Source organism: Homo sapiens, chromosome 6 (assembly GCF_000001405.40).
Source record: "Homo sapiens chromosome 6, GRCh38.p14 Primary Assembly".
NCBI lineage: Eukaryota > Metazoa > Chordata > Mammalia > Primates > Hominidae > Homo > Homo sapiens.
The window spans coordinates 92,604,734-92,628,671 of NC_000006.12; the positions used below are offsets into that span (position 1 = coordinate 92,604,734).

General features: G+C 35.3%; 1 long non-coding RNA gene across 1 annotated transcript in view, besides 2 other annotated features; it reads right to left on the reverse strand.

Moving 5' to 3' along the window:
* Positions 1-23,938, reverse strand: part of LINC02531 (long intergenic non-protein coding RNA 2531) — a 138,833-nt gene that overhangs the window by 19,740 nt on the left and 95,155 nt on the right. The window lies entirely within an intron of this gene.
* Positions 13,005-14,204: an enhancer, noted in NCBI's record as "BRD4-independent group 4 enhancer chr6:93327456-93328655 (GRCh37/hg19 assembly coordinates)". NCBI's record gives its function as "activates an origin of replication core promoter dependent on BRD2, P300/CBP, MED14 and CDK7 cofactors, and independent of BRD4, by STARR-seq in HCT116 cells {active_cell/tissue: HCT116}" and the evidence as "EXISTENCE:reporter gene assay evidence [ECO:0000049][PMID:35650434]".
* Positions 13,901-14,070: an enhancer, noted in NCBI's record as "experimental_97159 CRE fragment used in MPRA reporter constructs". NCBI's record gives its function as "activates a minimal promoter by MPRAs in K562 erythroleukemia cells, with activity observed for the introgressed 6:93328437 variant allele {active_cell/tissue: K562}" and the evidence as "EXISTENCE:reporter gene assay evidence [ECO:0000049][PMID:34662402]".

Here is a 23,938-nt window from a genome sequence, read left to right on the forward strand (position 1 = left end):
TATAATAAAACTGAAAAATAACAAGTAAAATTTAGAAATCTATACAAACACATGGAAATTTAACAATATGCTGCTAAATAACCAGTGGATCAGTGAAGATATTAAGAAGAAAATTGAAAAATTTTTGAAACAAATGATAATGAAAACACAATCTATCAAAACCTATTGGATACAGCAAAAACAGCAGAGAGAAGCTTATAGTTAAAAATGCCTACCTCAAAAAAGATAAATAACACCAAATAATCTAGAGATTCATCTTAAAGAACTTGAAAAGCAAGAACAAACCAAACCCAAAATTATCAGAAGAAAAGATAATATCAGAGCAGAAATAAATGAAATTGGAATAAAAAAATATATATATAAAAGGTCAAGGAAACAAAAAGTTGGTTTTTTGAAAAGTGAAACAGAATTGACAAACTTTTAGTCAGTGTAAGAAAAAAAGAGAATATCCAAATGTGCAAAATTAGAAATGAAAAAGGAAACACTGCAGACATTCAAAGGATTATTGGTGTTTACTTTGAGCAACTATATGTGAACAAACTGAAAAATCTAGAAGAAATGGACAAATTACTAGACCCATACAACCTACCAAGATTGAACAAGGAAGAGATGTAAAACTTGATGAGACCAATAACAACTAGCAAGATCAAAGCTATAATAAAAAATCATTCAGTAAAGAAAATTCTGGGACCTGATAGCTTCACTCCTTAATTCTAACAAACATTGAAAGAAGAACTAATACCAATTCTACTCAAAATATTTCAAAAAATAGAGGAGGAGGGAATACTTCCAAACTCATTCTACTAGGCCAGTATTACTTTGATACCAAAGCCAGACAAAGACACATCAAACAAAGAAAAGTACAGGCTAATATCTCTGATAAATATTGATGCAAAAATCCTCAACAAAATGATAGCAAGCCAATTTCAATAATACATTAGAAAGATTATCAATCAATGTGACACATCATATCCACAGATTGAAGAATGAAAACCATGAGATCATTTCAATCAGTGCTGAAAAGGCATCTGATAAAATTCAACATCTTTTCATAATTAAAACCTTCAAAAAACTAGGGATAGAAGGAATATATCTATGTTTTTTATTAAAAAGCCATATATGACAGACCCACAGCTATTATCGTAGTGAATGGGGAAAAACTGAAAGCCTTTTCTCTAAGATCTGGAACATGACAACGATGCCCAGTTGCCACTGTTGTTCAACATATTAATAATATTGGAATTTTTAGCTACAGCAATCAAACAAAAGAAAGCTATAAATGGCATCCACATCAGAAATCAAAGAGTTAAATTATCCTTGAGGATGATATGATCTTATATTTGGAATAACCTAAAGACTCCACAAGAAAACTGTTAGAATGGATAAACTCGAAGAAGTTATAGGATACAAAATCAACATACAAAAATCAACAGCATTTCTATATGCCAAAAGTGAACAATGTGAAAGACAAATAAAAAGTAATCCATTTACAATAGTCACACATAAAATTAAATACCTAGGAATTAACTTAACCAAATAAGTGAAAGGTCTCTATATTGAAAACTATAAAACACGGATGAAGGAAATTGAAAGGGAAACACACAAAAAAATAAAAAATATTCCATGTTCATGTATTGGAAGAATCAATATTGTTAAAATAGCCATACTCTCCAAAGCAATCTAGAGATTCAATGCAATCCCTCTCAAAATACCAATGACAGTCTACACAGAAATAGAAAAGAAACCATTCTAAAACATATAGGGAACCATAAAAGTCCCAGAGTAGCCAAAGGTATCCTAAGCAAGAAGAACAAAACTGGAGGAATCCCGGCAGGGCGTGGTGGCTCAGGCCTGTAATCCCAGCACTTTGGGAGGCCGAGGCGGGCGGATCACGAGGTCAGGAGATCGAGACCATCGTGGCTAACACAGTGAAACCCCATCTCTACTAAAAATACAAAAAATTAGCCGGGCATGGTGGTGGGCGCCTGTAGTCCCAGCTACTCAGGAGGCTGAGGCAGAAGAATGGCGTGAACCTGGGAGGCAGAGTTTGCAGTGAACCGAGATTCCGCCACTGCACTCCAGCTTGGGCAACAGAGTGAGATTCCATCTCAAAAAACAAAACAAAACAAAACAAAACAAACAAACAAAAAAACCGGAGGAATCCCATTACCTGAATTCATATTGTACAACAGAGCTATAGTTACCAAAACAGCATGGTAATGTCATAAAAACAGACACACAGACCAATGGAACAGAGTAGAGAACCCAGAAACAAATCCACACACCTACACTGAACTCATGTTTGACAAAGGTGCCAAGAACATACACTGGGGAAAAGATGGTCTCTTCAACAAATGATGCTGGGAAAACTGATTAGCCATATGCAAAAGAAAAAGTAGACCTCTACCTCTTGCAGTATACCAAAATCAAATCAAAATGACCACCAAGACTTAAATGTAAGACCTCAAACTATAAAAGTGCTACATTAAAGCATTAGGGAAAATCTCCAGGAGATTGATCTGGGCAAAGACTTCTTAAGCAATATTCTACAAGCACAGGCAAACAAAGCAAACATAGACAAATGGGATCACATCAAGTTTTAAATCTTATGCACATCAAAGAATACAATGGACAAAGTAAAAATACAACCCAGAGAATGAGAGAAAATATATGCAACCTGCTCATCTAACAAGGAATTGATAACCAGAATACATAAGGTGCTCAAACAACTCTACAGGAAAATATCTAATAATCCAATAAAAAATGGGCAAAAGATTTGAATAGACATTTCTCAAAGGAAGACATACAAATGACAAAAAGGCATATTAAAAGGTGCTCCACATCACTGATGAAGAAATGCAATCAAAACTACAATGAGGTATCATCTCACTCCAGTTAGAATCGCTTATATCCAAAAGACAGACAATAGCAAATACTGGCGAGGATGTGGAGAAAGGGGATCCCTAGTACACTCTTGGTGGGAAAGTAAATTAGTTCAACCACTATGAAGAACAGTTTGGAGGTTCCTCACAAAAATAAAAATTGAGCTACCATATGATCCAGCAATCTGACTGCTGGGTATATATCCAAAAGAAAGGAAATAAGTATATCAAAGAGATATCTGCACTCCTATGTTTATTGCAAAAATGTTTACAATAGCTAATATTTGGAAGCCACTTAAGTGTTCATCAACAGATGAATGGATAAATAAAGTGAGATACAAATACATAATAGAATACTATTCAGCCATAAAAAAGAATGAGATCCAGTCATTTACAATATCATGGATGGGTCTGGTGATAACTATGCTAAGTGAAATAAGCCAGGAACAGAAAGACAAATGTCACATGTTCTCACTTATTTGTGGAATCTAAAAATACAAACAATTGAACTCAAGGTCATGGAGAGTAGATGGATGGTTACCAGAGGTGGGGAAAGGTAGAAGGGATTTGCAGGGAAAGGCAGAGATGGTTATGGGTACAAAAAGTTAGAAAGAAAAACTACTATTTGATATTACAATAGGGTGACTATAGCTAATAATAAGTTAATTGTATATTTGAAAATAAAGAATGTAATTGAATTGTTTGTAACTCAAAGGACAAATGCTTGAGGGGATGGATACCCCATTCTTCATAATGTGTTTATTTCACCTTGCATGCCTGTATAAAAACATCTCATGTACCCCATAAATATATACACCTACTATGTACCCACAAAAAATGAAAAAATAATTTATTTTTTAAATGTCTCTTCAGCCATGCTTAGAAATAAATATATTAGTGGAAAGATCATAGAAACAAAACACAAATATTCTTCTATTTTTACCTTCAGTTTGTGTGTGTGTGTGTGTGTGTGTGTTTGTGTGTGCGTATTTTAGCTTCTGTGTCTACGGTTAATACACAATAGAAAAATTGGGAATGTTAACTGTCTCTGTCTTGAGGAAACTTAGTCATGGTTTATCAAAATTCATTACTTCTGGAGAGTTTGACTAGCTATAGGATCAAACCACTATGCCTTCTTTTCTAATTTAGTTATGGCAGGAGTTGTAAAAATACTTTCATTGTGGCAGCCAGTGATTTTTTTTTTCACAAGCTTTGTTTATACAGAGGAAATAAAACCAATGAATTGAGTCAACCAATTAGTCAGGGAGCTGGGCGTCATGAATATGAAACGACTAGCTCATTGACTATATCATTCATTGTCATACGATTGTTTTGGCATTGAAAAGTCACAGCCGTGGCTTTTCCAAAGTAACATATGCCAATGTATGTTATGAGTGAACGTTTGTCATTCAAATTAGAAACAACAGCAACAAAGACAAAACACATTTCTTTCTGGTCTACCCCATATGGGTAACTGATATTATCACAGCTAGAGTTGAGCAGCCTAGAATATGTAATTTCTTTTTGTAAAAAAATATTTTATCTTGGGGAAAAGCAGTATTTGGCAATGCATCAATTCCTCTACTTTTGTTCATCATTTGTTTGAACAAAGGTAATTATGTTCACAACAAATTAAGCATCAGAATTTTTCTTTTTGTTTCTGGTAGAGTCTCTTATAACCAACTACCAGTTATATCATTACATCTTTCTGTTTTTCATTACTGTCATCAGAAAAGCAGCATTCATTTTTAAAAATTTAGATATAACCTGCCTATAATTTTGCTTTATTAATGAAAACTAATAAGCATCATATCAAAAAATCTATACAAATGCATCAAAAATAATTACTAAATATTTATGAGTATTGATTTTGAGGTAAATTTTAAACGAGTAAATCTTGAATAAATATTTATTAAATTTTAATTGAATATATTAAATGTGTTAAGATTATTAGACACCATACTTTAGTATCAAACTGAACTTTACATATTTCAAATAATAGATACCATTATGGGAATCTTATAATCCCTGACAAATTCAATAAGCATTTCTCAGTTATGACTTGTAATCAAATTTTGTGATTCAAGATGTTGAGCTTTAATACTGATATTTTATTAATAAATTTCTACCAGTTTTTCACTGTAACTTTAATATGGATAGATTAAAACTACTAAATTTTATTTTGGGTAACAACTTCAAATTCAACTTTAAAAGGTCAATTACAACTTTTTTCTTAAATTTTTAACAAGTTTAAAAACAAATGTTTGATGTTAGTTTATCACTATTTGACTTATAAAGCCTCAGTTTAATTTGCCACAAAATTATAGGCATTTAAAAGAACAAGACAGGTAATTTTCCTAGGTTCAGTTTTTCTATAGGGCAGCTATATAAAGATAATATTAATACATCATGTATCTATTATGAAAACATATCATATGGTTTATTTACTATGTATCACTTTTTTGAAGTACTGATCATATTGGGGTATAATAATAGTACCTTCCTCATAGGGTTATTAAAAGCATTTTATGATGAACATATGTTAAGTCCTTAAGACAATACTTGGCACATAATAAGTAAGCGTTCAATAAATGTTAATGTTTCGCCTTCTCCTCCTTATGATCCTCTTTCCTTCCCCTCCTTCTTCCCGTCTTTCTTCTCCTCCTTATGATCCTCTTTCCTTCCCCTCCTTCTTCCCGTCTTTCTTCTCCTCCTCTTTGTCCTTCTTCTCCTCCTCCTCCTCTTTCTTCACCTTTTCCTCTTCCTTCTTCGTCAATTTATTTGGCTCACTTACTTTTCTGTAGGGAATTTTAGTAGTACCATATTTCTACTCTTATACAATAGTGTCCCCAAGGTATTAGTGGAGTTTATGAATTTTATCATATGCTGTTACTCCGTCTATGATATTTTCATATGATTTTACTTCTTTAGCGTGTGGATGTGATGGATTGCATTAACTGATTTTCAAATGTTCAAATAGCTTGGCATACCTGGAATAAATCCAACCTGGTTGTGGTATATACTTTTTTTTGTACATTGTTAGGTTAAATTTGATCATATTTTGTTTAGGGTTTTTTCATCAATGTACATGAGAGATACTGGTCTGTAGTTTTCTTGTACTGTCTTTGGGTATAATCCAGCATATAATTATATGGATTCATGGAATAAGTTAGGACAATACCCTCTGCTTCTATCTGCTAAAAGAAAGTTTGACTTGGTATGATTTCTCCCTAAGCTGTTCGATAAAATTTATCAGTGAACCTACTTGATCCCTTTGCTTTGTTTTGGAGAGTTACTAATTATTGATTAGATTTCTTTAATAGATGTAGACCTATTTAGATTGTCTATTTACTCTTGTGTGATAGCTATCAAAATGCATCTTTCAAGGAATCATTCCATATCATCTAGGTTATCAAATTTATGAACAAAAAGTTATTCATAGCATTTTATTATTCTTTTAATATTCATGGGATATTTACGGTGTTCCTACTTACATTTATGATCTTAGTTAATTATATGCTTTCTTTTATTTGTTTGCCTTGCTAGAGGCTTGTCAAAAAAAAGTGTTGGGTTTCATTGATTTTCTAAATTGATTTTCTTTTTAAAATTTTATTGATTTCTGCTCTAATTTTTATTATTTCTTTTTTTCTGCTCATTTTGGATTTAATTTGCTCTTCCTATTCTAGTTTCTTAAGGTTGGACTTTAGATTATGGATTTTATATTTTTCTTGTTTATCTAATATATGCATTGAATGCTATAAATTCATGTTGTCACAAATGAAAAGATTTCTTTTTTTTTTTTTGGCTGAATCATAGTCCATGCATGGATACAACACATTGTAAAAAAAAAATCTATTTAACATTTAATGAACATTTGGGTTTTCTTAATAGCTTGCTTGTTGTGAATAATGCTGCAGTGACTAGGGAGATGCAGATATCTCTTTGAGATCTTGGTTTCAATTTATGGGATATCTACACAGAAGTGGGATTGCTGGATTATATGGAAGTCCTTTTTTTAATTTTTTTTCCTTCAACTTTTAAGTTCCAGGGTACATGTGCAGGATGTGCAAGTTTGTTACATAGGCAAATGTGTGCTATGGCGGCTTGCTACACAGATCAACCCATCACCTTAGTATTAAGCCCAGTATCCATTGGTTGTTTTTCCTGATGCTCTACCTCCCCTCACCCCTCCCTTCGACTAACCCCAGTAAGTGTTGTTCCCACACCCGTGTGTCCTTATGTTCTCATCATTCAGCCCCCACTTGTAAGTGAGATCATGTGGTGTTTGGTTTTCTATTCCTGCATGAATTTGCTGAGGGTAACAGCTTCCAGCTCCATCCATGTCCCTGCAAAGGACATGATCTCATTCCTTTTTAAGGCTGCATAGTATTCCATGGTGAGTATGTACCACATTTTCTTTATATAGTCTATCACTGATGGACATTTGGATTGATTCTGTGTCTTTGCTATTGTAAATAGTGCTGCAATGAACATACAAGTGAATGTATCTTTATAATAGAATAATTTATATTCATTTGGGTATATACCCAGTAATGGGATTGCTAGGTCACATGCTATTTCTGCCTCTAGATCTTTGAGGAATTACCACAGTGTCTTCCACAATGGTTGAACTAATTTACACTCCCAACAACAGTGTAAAAGCATTTCTTTTTCTCTGCTACCTCGCCAGCATCTGTTGTTTCTGGACTTTTCAATAATTGCCATTCCGACTGGCATGAGATGGTTTCTCACTGTGGTTTTGATTTGCATTTCTCTAATGATTTGTGATGTTGAGCTTTTTTTAATATGCTTGTTGGTCTTGTGAGTGTCTTCTTTTAAGAAGTGTCTGTTCATGTTCTTTGCCCACTTTTTAGTGGGTTGTCTGCTTTTTTCTTGTAAATTTATTTAAGTTTCTTGTAGACTCTGGATACCAGACCTTTGTCAGATGGAGAGATTGCAACATTTTTCTCCCATTTTGTAGGTTTTCTGTTCACTCTGATGATAGTTTTTTAATTATTTTTATTTTTATAGGTTTTGGGGGAACAGGTGATGTTTGGTTGTATGAATAAGTTATTTAGTTGTGATTTCTGAGATTTTGGTGTACCCATGATCCAAGTAGTATACACTTTACCCAACTGGTAGAATTTTATTCCTCACCCCATCCCACCCTTTCCCCAAGTCCCCAAAGTCCACTGTATCCTTCTTATGTCTTTGCATCCTCATAGCTTAGCTCCCACTTATGAGTGAGAACATACAATGTTTGGTTTTCCATTCCTGAGTTACTTCACTTAAAATAATGGTCTCTAATTTCATCCAGGTTGCTGCGAATGCCATTATTTCATTCCTTTTTATGGCTGAGTAGTATTTCATGGTATTACATCACATTTTCTTTATCCACTCATTGATTGATGGGCATTTGGGCTGGTTCCATATTTTTGCAATTGTGAATAGTGCTGTTATAAACAACCATGTGCAAGTATCTTTTGCATATAATGACTTCTTTTTCTCTGGGTAGACACCTAGTAATGGAATTGCTGGGTCAAATGGTAGATATACTTTTAGTTCTTTAAGGAAACTTCACAATGTTTTCCATAGTGTTTGTACTAGTTTACATTCCCAGCCAGTGTTAAAAGTGTTCCCTTGTCACCACATCTATGCCAACATCTATTATTTTTTTCATTTTTTGATTATGGCCACTCTTGCAGAAGTGAGGTGGTATTGTGGTTTCAATTTGAATGTTCTAAATAATTAGTGATGTGATCATTTTTCCATATGCTGGTAGGCCATCTGTGTACCTTCTTTTGAGAATTGTCTATTCATGTACTTAGACCACTTTTTGATGGAATTGTTTGTTTTTTACTTGCTGATTTGTTTGAGTTCGTTGTAGATTCCAGATATTAGTGTTTTGTCGAATGTATAGATTGTCAAGATTTTCTTCCACTCTGTGGGTTGTCTGTTAACTCTGCTGATTATTTCTTTTGCTCTGCAGAATGTTTTTAGTTTAATTAAGTCCCATCTATTTAGTTTTCTTTTTGTTGCATTTGCTTTTGGGTTTTTGGTCAGGAAGTCTTTGCCTAAGCCAATGTCTAGAAGGGTTTTTCCAATGTTATCTTCTAGAATTTTTACGGTTTCAGGTCTTAGATTTAAGTCTTTGATCTATATTGAGTTGATTTTTGTAAAAGGTGAGAGAAGAGGATCCAGTTTCATTCTTCTACATGTGGCTTGTCAATTATCTCAACACCATTTGTTGAATAGGGTGTCCTTTCCCCACTCCATGTTTTTGTTGGCTCTGTGAAGATCTCTTGACTGTGGGTTTATTTCTGGGTTCTCTGTTCTGTTCCATTGGTCCTTATGCCTATTTTTATATCAGTACCATGCTGTTTTGGTGACTATGGCCTTATAGTATAGTTTGAAGTTGGGTGATGTGATGCCTTTGCGTTTGTTATTTTAGCTTAGTCTTTTGGCTATGTGGCTCTTTTTGGTTCCATATGAATTTTAGGATTGTTTTTTCTCTGTCTGTGAAGAATGATGGTGGTATTTTGATGGTCATTGCATTGAATTTGTAGATTGGTTTTAGCAGTATGATCATTTTCACATTATTGATTCTATCTATCCATGGGCATGGAATGTGTTTCCATTTGTTTGTATCATCTATGACTTCTTTCAGCAATGTTCTGTAGTTTTCCTTATAGAGGTCTTTCACCTCCTTGGTTAAGTATATTCCTGATTTTTTTTTTTTTTTTTTTTTTTTTGTCAGCTATAGTGGAAGAGGTTGCATTCTTGATCTGATTCTCAGCTTGCTCATGTTAGTGCATGGCAGGGCTACTGATTTGTGTACATTAATTTTGTATGCTGAACTTTGCTTAATTTCATTTACCAGTTCTGGGAGCTTTTTGAGTGAGTCTTTAGGGTTTTCTAGGTATAGATGTATATCATCAGCAAACAGCCACAGTTTGACTTCCTCTTTACTAATTTGGATACTCTTGATTTCTTTCTCTTATCCAATTGCTCTGGCTAGGACTTCCAGTACTATTTTGAAGAGGAGTGGTGAGAGTGGTCATCCTTGTCTTGTTCCAGTTCTCAGGGAGAATGCTTTCAACTTTTCCCCATTCAGTATAATGTTGGCTGTGGGTTTGTCATAGATGCCTGTTATTACCTTAAGATATGTCCCTTCTATGCCAATTTAGCTAAGGGTTTTAATCATAAACGGATGCTGAATTTTGTCAAATGCTTTTTCTGCATCTATTGAGATGATCATGTGATTTCTGTTTTTAATTCTGTTTATGTGTTGTATCACATTTCTTGACTTGCATATGTTAAGCCATTCCTGGATTCCTGGTATGAAACCCACTTGATCATGGTGGATTATTATTTTGATATGCTATTGGATTTTGTTAGCTAGTATTTTGTTGAGGATTTGTATATATATGTTCAACAGGGTTATTGGTCTGTAGTTTTCTTTTTTTGTTATGTTCTTCCCTGATTTTGGTATTAGGGTTATACTGGCTTCATATAATGATTTAGGGAGGATTTCCTCTTTATCCTGTGGAATAGTGCCAATAGGATTGGTATCAATTCTGCTTTGAATGTGTGATAGAATTCAGCTGTGAATTCGTCTGGTCCTGGATTTTCTTTGGTTGGCAATATTTTTTATACAATTTTAATCTTGTTGCTTGTTATCAGTCTGTTCAGAGTTTCTATATCTTCCTGGTTTAATCTAGGAGGGTTGTATATTTCTAGGAGTTTATCCATCTCTTCTAGGTTTTCTAGTTTATGCACATAAAGGTGTTCATAGTAGACTTTAATAATCTTTTGTATTTCTGTGGTATCATTAGTAATATTTCCTGTTTATTTCTAATTAAACTTATTTGTACTTTCTCTTTTTTCTTGGTTATTCTTGCTAATGGTCTATCAATTTTATTTATCTTTTCAAAGAACCAGCTTTTTGTTTCATTTATCTTTTGTATTTTTTGTTTGTTTCAATTTCATTCAGTTCTACTCTAATCTTTATTATTTATTTTCTTCTGCTGGGTTTGGGTTTGGATTGTTCTTGTTTATCCAGTTCCATGAGATGTGACCTTAGATTGTCTATTTGTGCTCTTTCAGGCATTTAATGCTATGAACTTTCATCTCAGCACCACTTTTGCTATATCCCAGAGGTTTTGATAGGTTGTGGCACTATTATTGTTCCATTCAAAGGAATTTTAAATTCCTTTCTTGATTATATTGTTGACCCAGTGATCATTCAAGAACAGGTTATTTAATTTCCAGGTATTTGCATGGTTTTCAGTGTTCCTTTTGGAGTTGAGTTCCAATTTTATTCCACTATGATCTGAGAGAGTACTTAATATAATTTCAATTTTCTTAAATTTACTGAGACTTGTTATGTGGCCTACCATATTTTGGAAAATGTTCCATGTGCTAATGAATAGAATGTATATTCTGTAGGTTTTGAGTAAAATGTTCTGTAAATATCTGTTAAATTTGTTGTAGAATATAGTTTTAGTCCATTGTTTCTTTATTGACTTTGTGTCTTGATGATCTCTCTAGTGGTGTCCGTGGAGTATTAAAGTCCCCCACTATTATTGTGGTGCTGTGTAATTCATTTCTTATGGCTAGTAGTAAATTGTTTTATAAATTTGGGAACTCCAGTGTTAGGTGCATATATATTTAGGATTGTAATATTTTCTTCTTGGACTAGTCCTTTTGTCATTATATATTGTCCCTCTTTGTCTTTTTAAACTGCTGTTGCTTTAAAGTTTGTTTTGTCTGATATAAGAATAGCTACTTCTGATCACTTTTGGTGTCCTTTTGCATGGAATATCTTTTTCCACCCCTTTATTTTAAGTTTATGTGAATCTTTAGGTGATGCTTTTGAAGATAGCAGAAATTTTGGTGAATTCTTATTCATTCTGCCAGTCTGTATCTTTTAAGTGGAGCACTTAGGCCACCTACATTCAACATCAGTATGAGATGTGAGATACTATTCTATTGATTATACTATTTGTTGCCTGAATACCTTGTTTGCTTTCTTTGTGTTATTGTTATATAGGTCCTGTGAGATTTATGCTTTAAGGACATTTTATTTTGGTGTATTTCAAGGATTTCTTTCAAGATTTACAGGTCTTTTTAGCATTTGTTGTAGTGCTAGCTTGGTAGTGGTGAATTCTCTCAGTATTTGTTTTTCTGGAAACGACTATTTTTTCTTCATTTATGAAGCTTTGTTTCTCTGGATAGAATATTATTGGCTGATAATAGTTTTGTTTAATAAAGGAGGCTAAAAATAGGACCACAAACCCTTGTAGCTTGTAGGATTTCTGCTGATAAATCTTCTGTTACTCTGATAGGTTTTCCTTTATAGGTTACCTGATGCTTTTGCCTCACAGCTCTTAAGATTCTTTCCTTCATCTTGACTTTAGATAACCTGATGACTATGTGCCTAGGTGATAATCTTTTTGTGATGAATTTCCCAGGTGTTCTTTGAACTTCTATTTGGATTTCTAGATCTCTAGCAAGCCTAGGGAAGTTTTTCTCGATTATTACCTCAGAGAGGTTTTCCATACTTTTAGACTTCTCTTCTTCCTCAAAAACTCCAATTATTCTTAGATTTTCATGTTTAACATAGTCCCAAACTCCTCGGAGGCTTTGTTGATTTTTTAAAATTCTTTTTTGTCTTTGAGGGATTGGGTTAATTCAAAAGCCTTGTCTTCGAGCTCTGAAGTTCTGTCTTCTGCTTGTTCAATTCTATTGTCAAGACTTTCAAGTGCATTTTGCATTTCTCTAAGTGTGTCCTTGATTTCCAGAAGTTGTGATTGTTTTGTATTGATGTTATTTCACTGAAGATTTTTCCTTTCATCTTCTGTATCATGTTTTTCATTTCTTTAAGCTGGACTTCACCTTTCTCTGGTGCCTCCTTGATTAGTTTAATAATCAACCTTCTGAATTTTTTTTCTTTTTGCAATTCAGAGATTTCATCTTGGTTTGGATCCATTGCTATTGAGCTGGGGTGATCTATTGGGTGTGTTAAAAAAAAAACTCATTTTGTCGTATTACCAGGATTGTTATTCTGGTTCCTTCTCATTTGGGTAGACTATGTCAGAGGGAAGATATGAGACTCAAGGGCTGCTGTTCAGATTCTTTTGTCCCACCGGTTGTTCCCTTGATGTGGTGATCTCCCCCTTCCCTTAGGGGTGGGGCTTCCTGAGAGCTAAACTGTAGTGATTGTTTTTGTTCTGGGTCTAACCACCCAGCAGAGCTACCAGGCTCTGGCTGGTGCTGGGGAGTCGATACAAAGAGTCCTGTGATGTGGTTCATCTTCAGATCTTTCAGCCACGGATACCAGCACCTGCTCTGGTGGAGGTAGTAGGGGAGTGAAGTGGATGCTGTGCAGGTCCTTGATTGTATTTTTGTCTAGTTTTCTGGTTTTGTGTTGGTTGGCCTCCAGCCAGGAGGTGGCACTTTCAAGAACACATCAGCTGCAGTACTGTAAGGAAAAAGCAAAGTTGCCCTAGGCTGGCCTGGTAAGTATTCAGGTTTCTCAGGCAGTGGGCAGGTCTGGAGAAGTGCTCTCAAGAGATTATGACTTTTGTCTTTGGCAACCACGGAAGGTAGAGAAAGACCACCAGGTGGGGGCACAGATAGGCCTATCTGAGCCGAGACTCTCCCTGGGCAGGACTTGCTCCGGTGGCTGTGGGGGATGGGGGTTGTGGTTTTCAGCCCAATGAAGTTATGTTCCCAGGGGAATTATGGCTGCCTCTGCTGAATTATACAGGTTTCCAGGGAAGTGGGGGAAAGCCGGCAGTCACAGGCCTCACCCCATTCCCACACAGCCTGCAGTCCTAAAGGCTGGTCTCACTCCCACTGACCCCACAACAGCACCAAATCTATTTCCAGGCAGCCAGTGACCAAGCCTTAGAACTTGCCCCAGACCACCAGCTTCCCTCAAGAGAAAACAAGCAGACTCACAATTTTTTGGCATCTCAAGGAGCCTGCTGCAGCGATCCAATTCCTTCAAAGGGTCTGTCTGTGGATTCTCTCAGCTTTCCTTGTATGTTCCTGTGATGGTTCTTAGAGTAAAAGTTCATGATGTTAAGTCTCCTCATGTTGCTCTTTCTGTCTGAGTAGGAGCTGCAAGCTAGTCCTGCCTCCTATCCGCCATCTATTTTTAATTATTTTCAGGAATCTCCATACTGTCTTTCATAATCACTGCATCATTCTACATTCCCAGCAACAGTCTATAAGGGTTCCAATTTCTCCACATCCTTGCCAACACTTTTTTTTATGATAGCCATCTTAACAAGTGTGAGGTGATATCTCATTGCATTATGCTAAGTGAAATAAGCCAGTGACAGACAAACACTGCATGATTCACTTACATAAGGTCTCTAATATCATCAAACTCATAGAAGTAGAGAATAGAATGGTGGTTACCAGGAACTAGAGAAAAGAAAAATGGGGAATTTTTTTCATTCTTTCTTAGAATGCTCATCTGTTTTTGCATGCTGCTGACTTTATCTATTTGAGCTCTTAGCATATTATATTAATATTAGTGTTCATATTAACATAAATTCCAACATCTCTGCCATATGTGAGTGTGGTTCTGATGCTTGCTCTATCTTTTCAAATTGTGCTTTTTGCTTGTGAGTGTGTCTTGTAATTTTTCTTGATACCCTGATATGACGTAGTTGGTAAAAGTAACCTGGCACACTGGTTTCTGCTAATGCCTTTTTGCCCTGTTAAGTTGTGAATCTCTGTATTTGTATGTATATCTTTTTATTTTGGGGAGCAGTGGTTTGCCTGGCAAACTCACTTCTCTAACAAATATAATAAGAGTTGTTGATTCCTTAGTTTTTTCAGCTTTTTAATTGTTAAGATGGAATGACAATTTCTAAGCTCCTCAAAACGCTGGACCAGAAAACAGAAGTTAAAATTTCCTTTAAAAAAGTTGAAGATAATCTTTTAAGATCTGTCTTTGCAAATGATATGTAAATAAGGTCCACACTGTGGACAACAGAGTAGAGGTTGATTTAAATCATCTAATGTCACCCTTATTAAATATCATTTTTAGTTTTGGTTCTATAGCTTAGTTACAATGCTAATAGTCAGACTCTCAAAATAATCACATTCCTACAATTTAAGAAAAAAATATATGTAACTAACCTGCACATTGTGCACATGTACCCTAAAACTTAAAGTATAATAATAATAAAATAAAAAATAATAATAATAAAAAATAAAATAAAATAAAATAAAATACATAGAAAAGTAAAAGCGTTACTTTCATTCCATTTTAAGGCATCTTCACACAAAGAAAAAATGTTTTAAAAATGTTCCTATATTCATAAAAATAAAGTAGTTAATAATAGCACTCAATCTACACATTAATAATGATAATCTTATATCCTTATATATAGTTACTTACTACTTCACATATTTCACAAGGGATTTGTGGGGATTAATTTTAAACATAATTTATATTAATATTTACATACTCTCGAAAAAAATAAAACACTACATAAATGTCAATTGCTGCAATTAAGGGTCCTCAATATTAAAATGCTATGTTAACACAAAATTTGAAAAGAAAGAAATCATTTCTTTAAGAAAAAGAGGAACCTAAAATTTGGTGAGAAAAAAAATATTAGAGACAAAAGAGTAATTAAATTATTGATACCAATAAACAATGTTATTTTAAGGACAAATGGACAAGTATGAGACCATTCATAAGTTTATGCAATTTCTGTTAGTAGAACTAATAGAAGACATCTATAAATGATAAAAAATAATTTAAAAGCACCTGTCATATACTTCAAATTATTTAAATAATTTGATAGTGAATGAATTATTCATTCATAAATAGTGCCAATTAAGGATCTAAATTTATTTGCTATTTTGTATTATCAACAGATGATTCCTATTTTCAAACATTCCATTGATATTATGATTCCATTAACAAGAAAAATCCCTAATACTGATACATAATGCTTATTACTTGCTCACAAAAATATCCATTAGAATTCTTCCTTAGGTTTTTCAGGTACCTACAATATTGGTAATATAACAAATAAAAACATGTTAATGCAATCATAAACTAATTATATACTTTAATGGAGTTGTTCATCATTTTTTAAAAAGGTAAACAGTTTGAAATTGTGAGGTGCCATAATGTTTTCTTTGAGTTGAACTGATCAGATCTAAATTTTCAGTATTTACTTGAGCCATGATTTTAGAAATGCATTTATGCCTTTTCTTTCTCCACCACTCTAATTAATGCAATTGTGGATGACTCAGTTTTAGAGATAAACATAATTACCTAAAGAGATTATTTGTCTAAAATATCATAATCATTTTATTGAGATAAGTTTAATTTATTAATAAGAGATTTCCTGGCTTATAACCTTCCATTCAACCCTAAGGCTGATTGGAAAAACCATATTATGAGAAACTTAAATGACCCTAGGAACTAGTGTACTCACTAAGATGATGGGTTGCAACTTTCAAAAACAATTCTTCAGAGAAAAGAAGAGAAAAAAGCCAGTGTGCATGTGTATATTTTTATATGTGTGTGAGTGTGTGTATGTATGTATAGTCATTTTTATACAAAGCGTTAAGTTATATACGTATAACTGTTTTGCTTCTTTATTTGTATTAAGATATTGTCTGCATACAGTTTCCCCTAAGCTGTATTTTGTGCTCTAAGAATAATGATGATGAATGTTAAAATACAATTGATAGTTAAGGAACTCACGCCAACCCCAGTAGCTCTTATCTGGATCAACCAGTTACTGGTAGTACTCAGAGTGTTATCTGGGTTCAAGATGTCTCACCTTAGTTCTGGCTGAAATAGTGAAGGGCAGTGACTAGAACTGGAAAACTGATTATTATAAGTAACATGCTGAAGAGCTGGTATTTTTTTTCCTGGAATATTGACTTCATGAAGAAGAAAATAAATCTGTCACAAAAGGGGATTTCAGAAGTTATGCTAGTATTAATATAAAAAGAGAGATGTAGCAAAAATATTAAAGATAGATATTGTCAAAAGCATAGGTATTTGTATATATGTCTGTGTGTGTGTGTATATATATGATAGACGCATAGATACATATGTAGAAATATTTTATGTCATTACACATACTAAGCATGTCATCTGATTATAATTTAAGTCATTTTTCCACTTCACTATATTGTTTGCCATTTAGATAAAAAGTATGAGACAGAAGAATTAGAAGGGAGAAGTTTCAAAATGAATAGTTGTATGAAAAAAGACTTTCTGGCATACAAACCAAAATATTTTTATTAAAAATCAGCCAGTATTTCAATGATGAGCAATGTTACCTATTTTAATCAATTCGAATAGCACATAAAATTCATTGTGGGATTAACAAGTACACCATTTACAATCCCGAGTGTGGGCATTTTCTATATACTTAATAGCTCTTCAGTAAGCAAACCCTGTGCAGGTAATTTTGAAAGATATATACTATGTACAACCTAATTTAAAAGTAATGAGGGCAGAGCAATCCATCACAAAACTAAATTCACTCCTCAGCAGGTGTGTTTCACGGCCTGGGTAGATACTTTTATTAGGGCAAGCATTATTAGATTATTTTTAAAAATTGGTAAGTAGAATTGTGTCCTATTTTTGTTCCAATTCAAAAAGATAAGCAGTTGTGTGGCACTGGAAGTACAATTGATCATCCTTGATCTTCTCAACATTATATCAATTTTAAGCCTTAAGTAAACAAAACAAATGTAAACACACTCATATTACATTTAAAAATTAAAATTAAGCATAAGCTACTGTAAATTCTAGAGTTTTTAAGACAAATGCAAAAACAGGTTTCACTAGTTCAGCTCAACAAGAGCAAAATATTTATGTACTCAATATCAAAATCAATGTAGGAAGAAAATATATAACGTGTTGAAAGTAGTTAATTATTACTGTGTCAACTAGTCGCACTTATTTTTGGTACCATTTATTACAGGGTAGCTTTTATCAGAATAACACTTTTGCAAGGAGATACATAACACTACAGAACATCCTATACAAGCCGGGCGCGGTGGCTCATGCCTGTAATCCCAGCACTTCGGGAGGCAGAGGCGGGCGGATCACAAGGTCACGAAATCAAGACCATCCTGGCTAACACAGTGAAACCCTGTCTCTACTAAAAATATATAAAAAAAAAAATAGCTGGGCGTGGTGGCGGGCACCTGTTATCCCAGCTACTCGGGAGGCTGAGGCAGGAGAATGGTGTGAACCCAGGAGACAGAGCTTGCAGTGAGCCGAGTTCGCGCCACTGCACTCCAGCCTGGGCGACAGGGTGAGACTCCATCTCAAAAAAAAAAAAAAAAAAGGAAAAAAGAACATCCTACACAGGAGGATCTAAAGAAGTTACACTTTTTAAAAATAAAACAAAAGCACATACTTTGAGCTCTGCAGTCCTTGCTTTACTTTAGGGTTCACTCTTGGTGGTGTATGTGCTACGGGTTTGGATAAATTCCAAATGACATGTATCCACTATTATGCTATAATACAGAGTAGTTTAACAGCCATTAAAATCCTCTGTGTTTGGCCTATTCATCCCTCCTACCCTTCAAAACCTCTCGCAATCACTGATCTTTTTCGTGTTTTCGTATTTTTTACCTTTTCCAGAATGCCATATACTTGAAATCACAAAGTATGTAGCCATTTATGATTGACTTTTTTCACTTAGTAAATATGCATTTTAGTTTCCTCTATGTTTTTAATGGCTTCATGGCTCATTTCTTTATAGCGCTGAATAACATTTCATGGTCTGGAAGTGGTAAGTTTATTTATTCAGGCACCTACTAAAAAGCATTTTGGTTGCTTCCAAGTTATAGCAGTTATGAATAAAGCTACTATGAACATCTGTGTGCAAGTTTTTGTTTGTTTGTTTGTTTGTTTAGAGACAGTGTCTCACTCTGTTGCCACTCTGTTGCCCAGGCTGAAATGCAGTGTCACTGTCATGGTTCACTGGGCTCAAGAAGCCATGCCGCAGCCTCTTGAGTAACTAGGACTACAGAAACACAGCCCCATGCCTCGCTAATTTTTCTACTTGTTTTGTAGAGACAGGGTATCACTGTTGCCCAGGCTGGTCTTGAACTCCTGAGCTCCAGTGATCTTCCCACCTCAGCCTCCCAAAGTGCTTACATTACAGGTGTGAGCCACTGCACCTGGCCTGTGTACAGGGTTTTTTCTGAACATAAGTTTTCAGTTTCTTTGGATAAATACCAAGAAACACAATTGCTGGATCACATGGTAAGAGTATGTTTAGTTTTGCAGGAGCCTACCAAACCGTTTTCCAAAATGGCTGTACCATTTTGCATTCTCTCTAGCAATGAATGAAAGTTCCTGTTGCACACATCCTTGCCAGCATTCTACGTTGTCAGTGTTTTGAATTGCGAATATTCTAATAAGATCGTATTGTTGTTTTAAGCTGCAATTCCCTAATGATATATGATATTGAACATACTTTCATATGCTTATTTGCCATCTATATATCTTCTTTGGTGAGCTATCTGTTTAGATCTTTTGTCCATTTTAATGGGTTGTTTTCTTGTTATTTTAAGAGTTCTTTGTATATTTTTAATACTGCCTTTTATCAGATATGTCTTTTGCAAATACTTCCTGCCAATTTGTATCTGAACTTTTATTTTTTTTCTTTTTTTTATTTAATATATATATATATTTTTATTATACTTTAAGTTCTAGGGTACCTGAGCAAAACGTGCAGGTTTGTTACATATGTATACATGTGCCATGCTGGTGTGCTGCATCCATTAACTCATCATTTACATTAGGTATATCTCCAAATGCTATGCCTTCCCCCTGCCCCGACCCCACAACAGGCCCCAGTGTGTGATGTTCCCCGTCCTGTGTCCAAGTATTCTCATTGTTCAATTCCCACTTACGAGTGACAACACGCGGTGTTTGGTTTTCTGTCCTTGTGACACTTTGCTGAGAATGATGGTTTCCAGCTTCATCCATGTCCCTACAAAGGACATGAACTCATCATTTTTTATGGCTGCATAGTATTCCATGGTGTATATGTGCCACATTTTCTTAATCCAGTCTATCATTGTTGAACATTTGGGTTGGTTCCAGGTCTTTGCTATTGTTAATAGTGTTGCAATAAACATATGTGTGCATGTGTCTTTATAGCAGCATGATTTATAATCCTTTGGGTATATACCCAGTAATGGGAAGGCTGGGTCAAATGGTATTTCTAGTTCTAGATCCTTGGGAATCACCACACTGTCTATGCAGAATGGTTGTACTAATTTACAGTCCCACCAACAGTGTAAAAGTGTTCCTATTTCGCCACATCCTCTCCACCACCTGTTGTTTCCTGACTTTTTAATGATCGCCATTCTAACTGGTGTGAGATGATATCTCACTGTGGTTTTGATTTCCATTTCTCCGATGGAGAGTGATGATGAGCATTTTTCCATGTGTCTGTTGGCTGCATAAATGTCTTCTTTTGAGAAGTGTCTGTTCATATCCTTTGCCCACTCTGTGATGGGGTTTTTTTTTCTTATAAATTTGTTGGAGTTCTTTGTAGATTCTGGATATTAGCCCTTTGTCAGATGAGTAGATTGCAAAAATTTTCTCCCATTCTGTAGGTTGCCTCTTCACTCTGATGGTAGTTTCTTTTGCTGTGCAGAAGCTCTTTAGTTTAATTAGATCCCATTTGTCAATTTTGGCTTTTGTTGCCATTGCTTTTGGTGTTTTAGACATGAAGTCCTTGCCCATGCCTATGTCCTGAGTGGTATTGCCTAGTTTTCTTCTAGGGTTTTTATGGTTTTAGGCCTAACATTTAAGTCTTTAACCCACCTTGAATTAACTTTTGTATAAGGTGTAAGGAAGGGATCCAGTTTCAGCTTTCTACATATGGCTAGTCAGTTTTCCCAGCACCGTTTGTTAAATAGGGAATCCTTTCCCCATTTCTTGCTTTTGTCAGATTTGTCAAAGATCAGATGGTTGTAGATGTGTGGTATTATTTCTGAGGGCTCTGTTCTGTTTCACTGGTCCACATCTCTGTTTTGGTACCAGCACCATGCTGTTTTGGTTACTGTAGCCTTGTAGTATAGTTTGAAGTCAGGTAGCATGATGTCTCCAGCTTTGTTCTTTTGGCTTAGGATTGACTTGGCAATGTGGGCTCTTTTTTGGTTCCATATGAACTTTAAAGTAGTTTTTTCCAATTCTGTGAAGAAAGTCGTTGGTAGCTTGATGGGGATGGCATTTAATCTATAAATTACCTGGGGCAGTATGGCCATTTTCACGATATTGATTCTTCTTATCCATGAGCATGGAATGTTCTTCCATTTGTTTTTTTTTTGTTTTGTTTTTTTTTTTTTTTTTGAGACGGAGTCTCGCTCTGTCGCCCAGGCCGGACTGCGGACTGCAGTGGCGCAATCTCGGCTCACTGCAAGCTCCGCTTCCCGGGTTCACGCCATTCTCCTGCCTCAGCCTCCTGAGTAGCTGGGACTACAGGCGCCCGCCACCGCGCCCGGCTAATTTTTTGTATTTTTAGTAGAGACAGGGTTTCACCTTGTTAGCCCGGATGGTCTCGATCTCCTGACCTCATGATCCACCCGCCTCGGCCTCCCAAAGTGCTGGGATTACAGGCGTGAGCCACCGCGCCCGGCCCTTCCATTTGTTTTGTCACCACCAGGTCTGCCCTACAAGAGCTCCTGAAGGAAGCACTAAACATGGAAAGGAACAACCAGTACCAGCCACTGCAAAAACATACCAAATTGTAAAGACCATAGATGGTAGGAAGAAACTGCATCAACTAACGAGCAAAATAACCAGCTAACATCATAATGACAGGATCAAATTCACACATAACAATATTAACCTTAAATGTAAATGGGATAAATGCTCCAATTAAAAGACACAGACTGGCAAATTGGATAAAGAGTCAAGACCCATCTGTGTGCTGTATTCAGGAGACCCATCTCACGTGCAGAGATACACATAGGCTCAAAATAAAGGGATGGAGGAAGATCTACCAAGCAAATGGAAAACAAAAAAAGGCAGGGGTTACAATCCTAGTCTCTCATAAAACAGACTTTAAACCAACAAAGATCAAAAGAGACAAAGAAGGTGATTACATAATGGTAAAGGGATCAATTCAACAAGAAAAGCTAACTATCCTAAATATATATGCACCCAATACAGGAGCACCCACATTCATAAAGCAAGTCCTTAGAGACCTACACAGAAACTTAGACTCCCACACAATAATAATGGGAGACTTTAATACCCCACTGTCAACATTTGACAGATCAATGAGACAGAAAGTTAACAAGGATATCCTGGAATTGAATTCAGCTCTGCACCAAGCGGACGTAATAGACATCTACAGAACCCTCCACCCCAAATAAACAGAATATACATTCTTCTCAGCACCACACCACACCTATTCCAAAATTTACCACATAGTTGAAAGTAAAGCACTCCTCAGCCAACGTAAAAGAACAGAAAGTATAACAAACTGTCTCTCAGACCACAGTGAAATCAAACTAGAACTCAAGATTAAGAAACTCACTCAAAACCGCTCAACTACATGGAAACTGAACAACCTGCTCCTGAATGACTACTGGGTACACAACAAAATGAAGGCAGAAATAAAGATGTTCTTTGAAACCAACAAGAACAAAGAAACAACATACCAGAATATCTGGGACACATTTAAAGCAGTGTGTAGAGGCAAGTTTATAACACTAAATGCCCACAAGAGAAAGCAGGAAAGATCTAAAATTGACACCCTAACATCACAATTAAAAGAACTAGAGAAGCAAGAGCAAACACATTCAAAAGCTAGCAGAAGGCAAGAAATAACTGAGATCAGAGCAGAACTGAAGGAGGTAGAGACACAAAAAACCCTTCAAAAAATCCATGAATTCAGGAGCTGGTTTTTTGAAAAGATCAACAAAATTGATAGACTGCTAGCAAGACTAATAAAGAAAAAAAGAGAGAAGAATCAAATAGATGCAACAAAAAATGATAAAGGGGATATCACCACCGATCCCACAGAAATACAAACTACCATCAGAGAATACTATAAACACCTCTATGCAAATAAACTAGAAAATCTACAAGAAATGGATAAATTCCTCAAAACATACACCCACCAAGACTAAATCAGGAAGAAGTTGAATCTCTGAATAGACCAATAACAGGCTCTGAAATTGAGGCAATAATTAATAGCTTACCAACCAAAAAAAGTCCAGGACCAGATGGATTCACAGCCGAATTCTACCAGAGGTACAAGGAGGAACTGGTACCATTCCTTCTGAAACTATTCCAATCAATAGAAAAAGGGGGACTCCTTCCTAACTCATTTTATGAGGCCAGCATCATTCTGATACCAACGCCTGGCAAAGACACAACTAAAAAAGAGAATTTTAGACCAATATCCCTGATGAACATCGATGCAAAAATCCTCAATAAAATACTGGCAAATCCAGCAGCACATCAAAAAGCTTATCCACTATGATCAACTGGGCTTCCTCCCTGGGATGCAAGGCTGGTTCAACATATGAAAAATCAATAAATGTAATCCAGCATATAAACAGAACCAAAGACAAAAACCACATGATTATCTCAATACATGCAGAAGAGGTCTCTGACAAAATTCAGCAGTGCATCATGCTAAAAACTCTCAATAAATTAGGTATTGGCGGGACGTATCTCAAAATAATAAGAGCTATCTATGACAAACCCACAGCCAATATCATACTGAATGGGCAAAAACTGGAAGCATTCCCTTTGAAAACTGGCACAAGATAGGGATGCCCTCTCTCACCACTCCTATTCAACATAGTGTTGGAAGTTCTGGCCAGGGCAATCAGGCAGGAGAAAGAAATAAAGGGTATTCAATTAGGAAAAGACGAAGTCAAATTGTCCCTGTTCGCAGATGACATGATTGTATATCTAGAAAACCCCATCATCTCAGCCCAAAATATCCTTAAGCTAATAAGCGACTTTGGCAAAGTCTCAGGATACAAAATCAATGTGCAAAAATCAC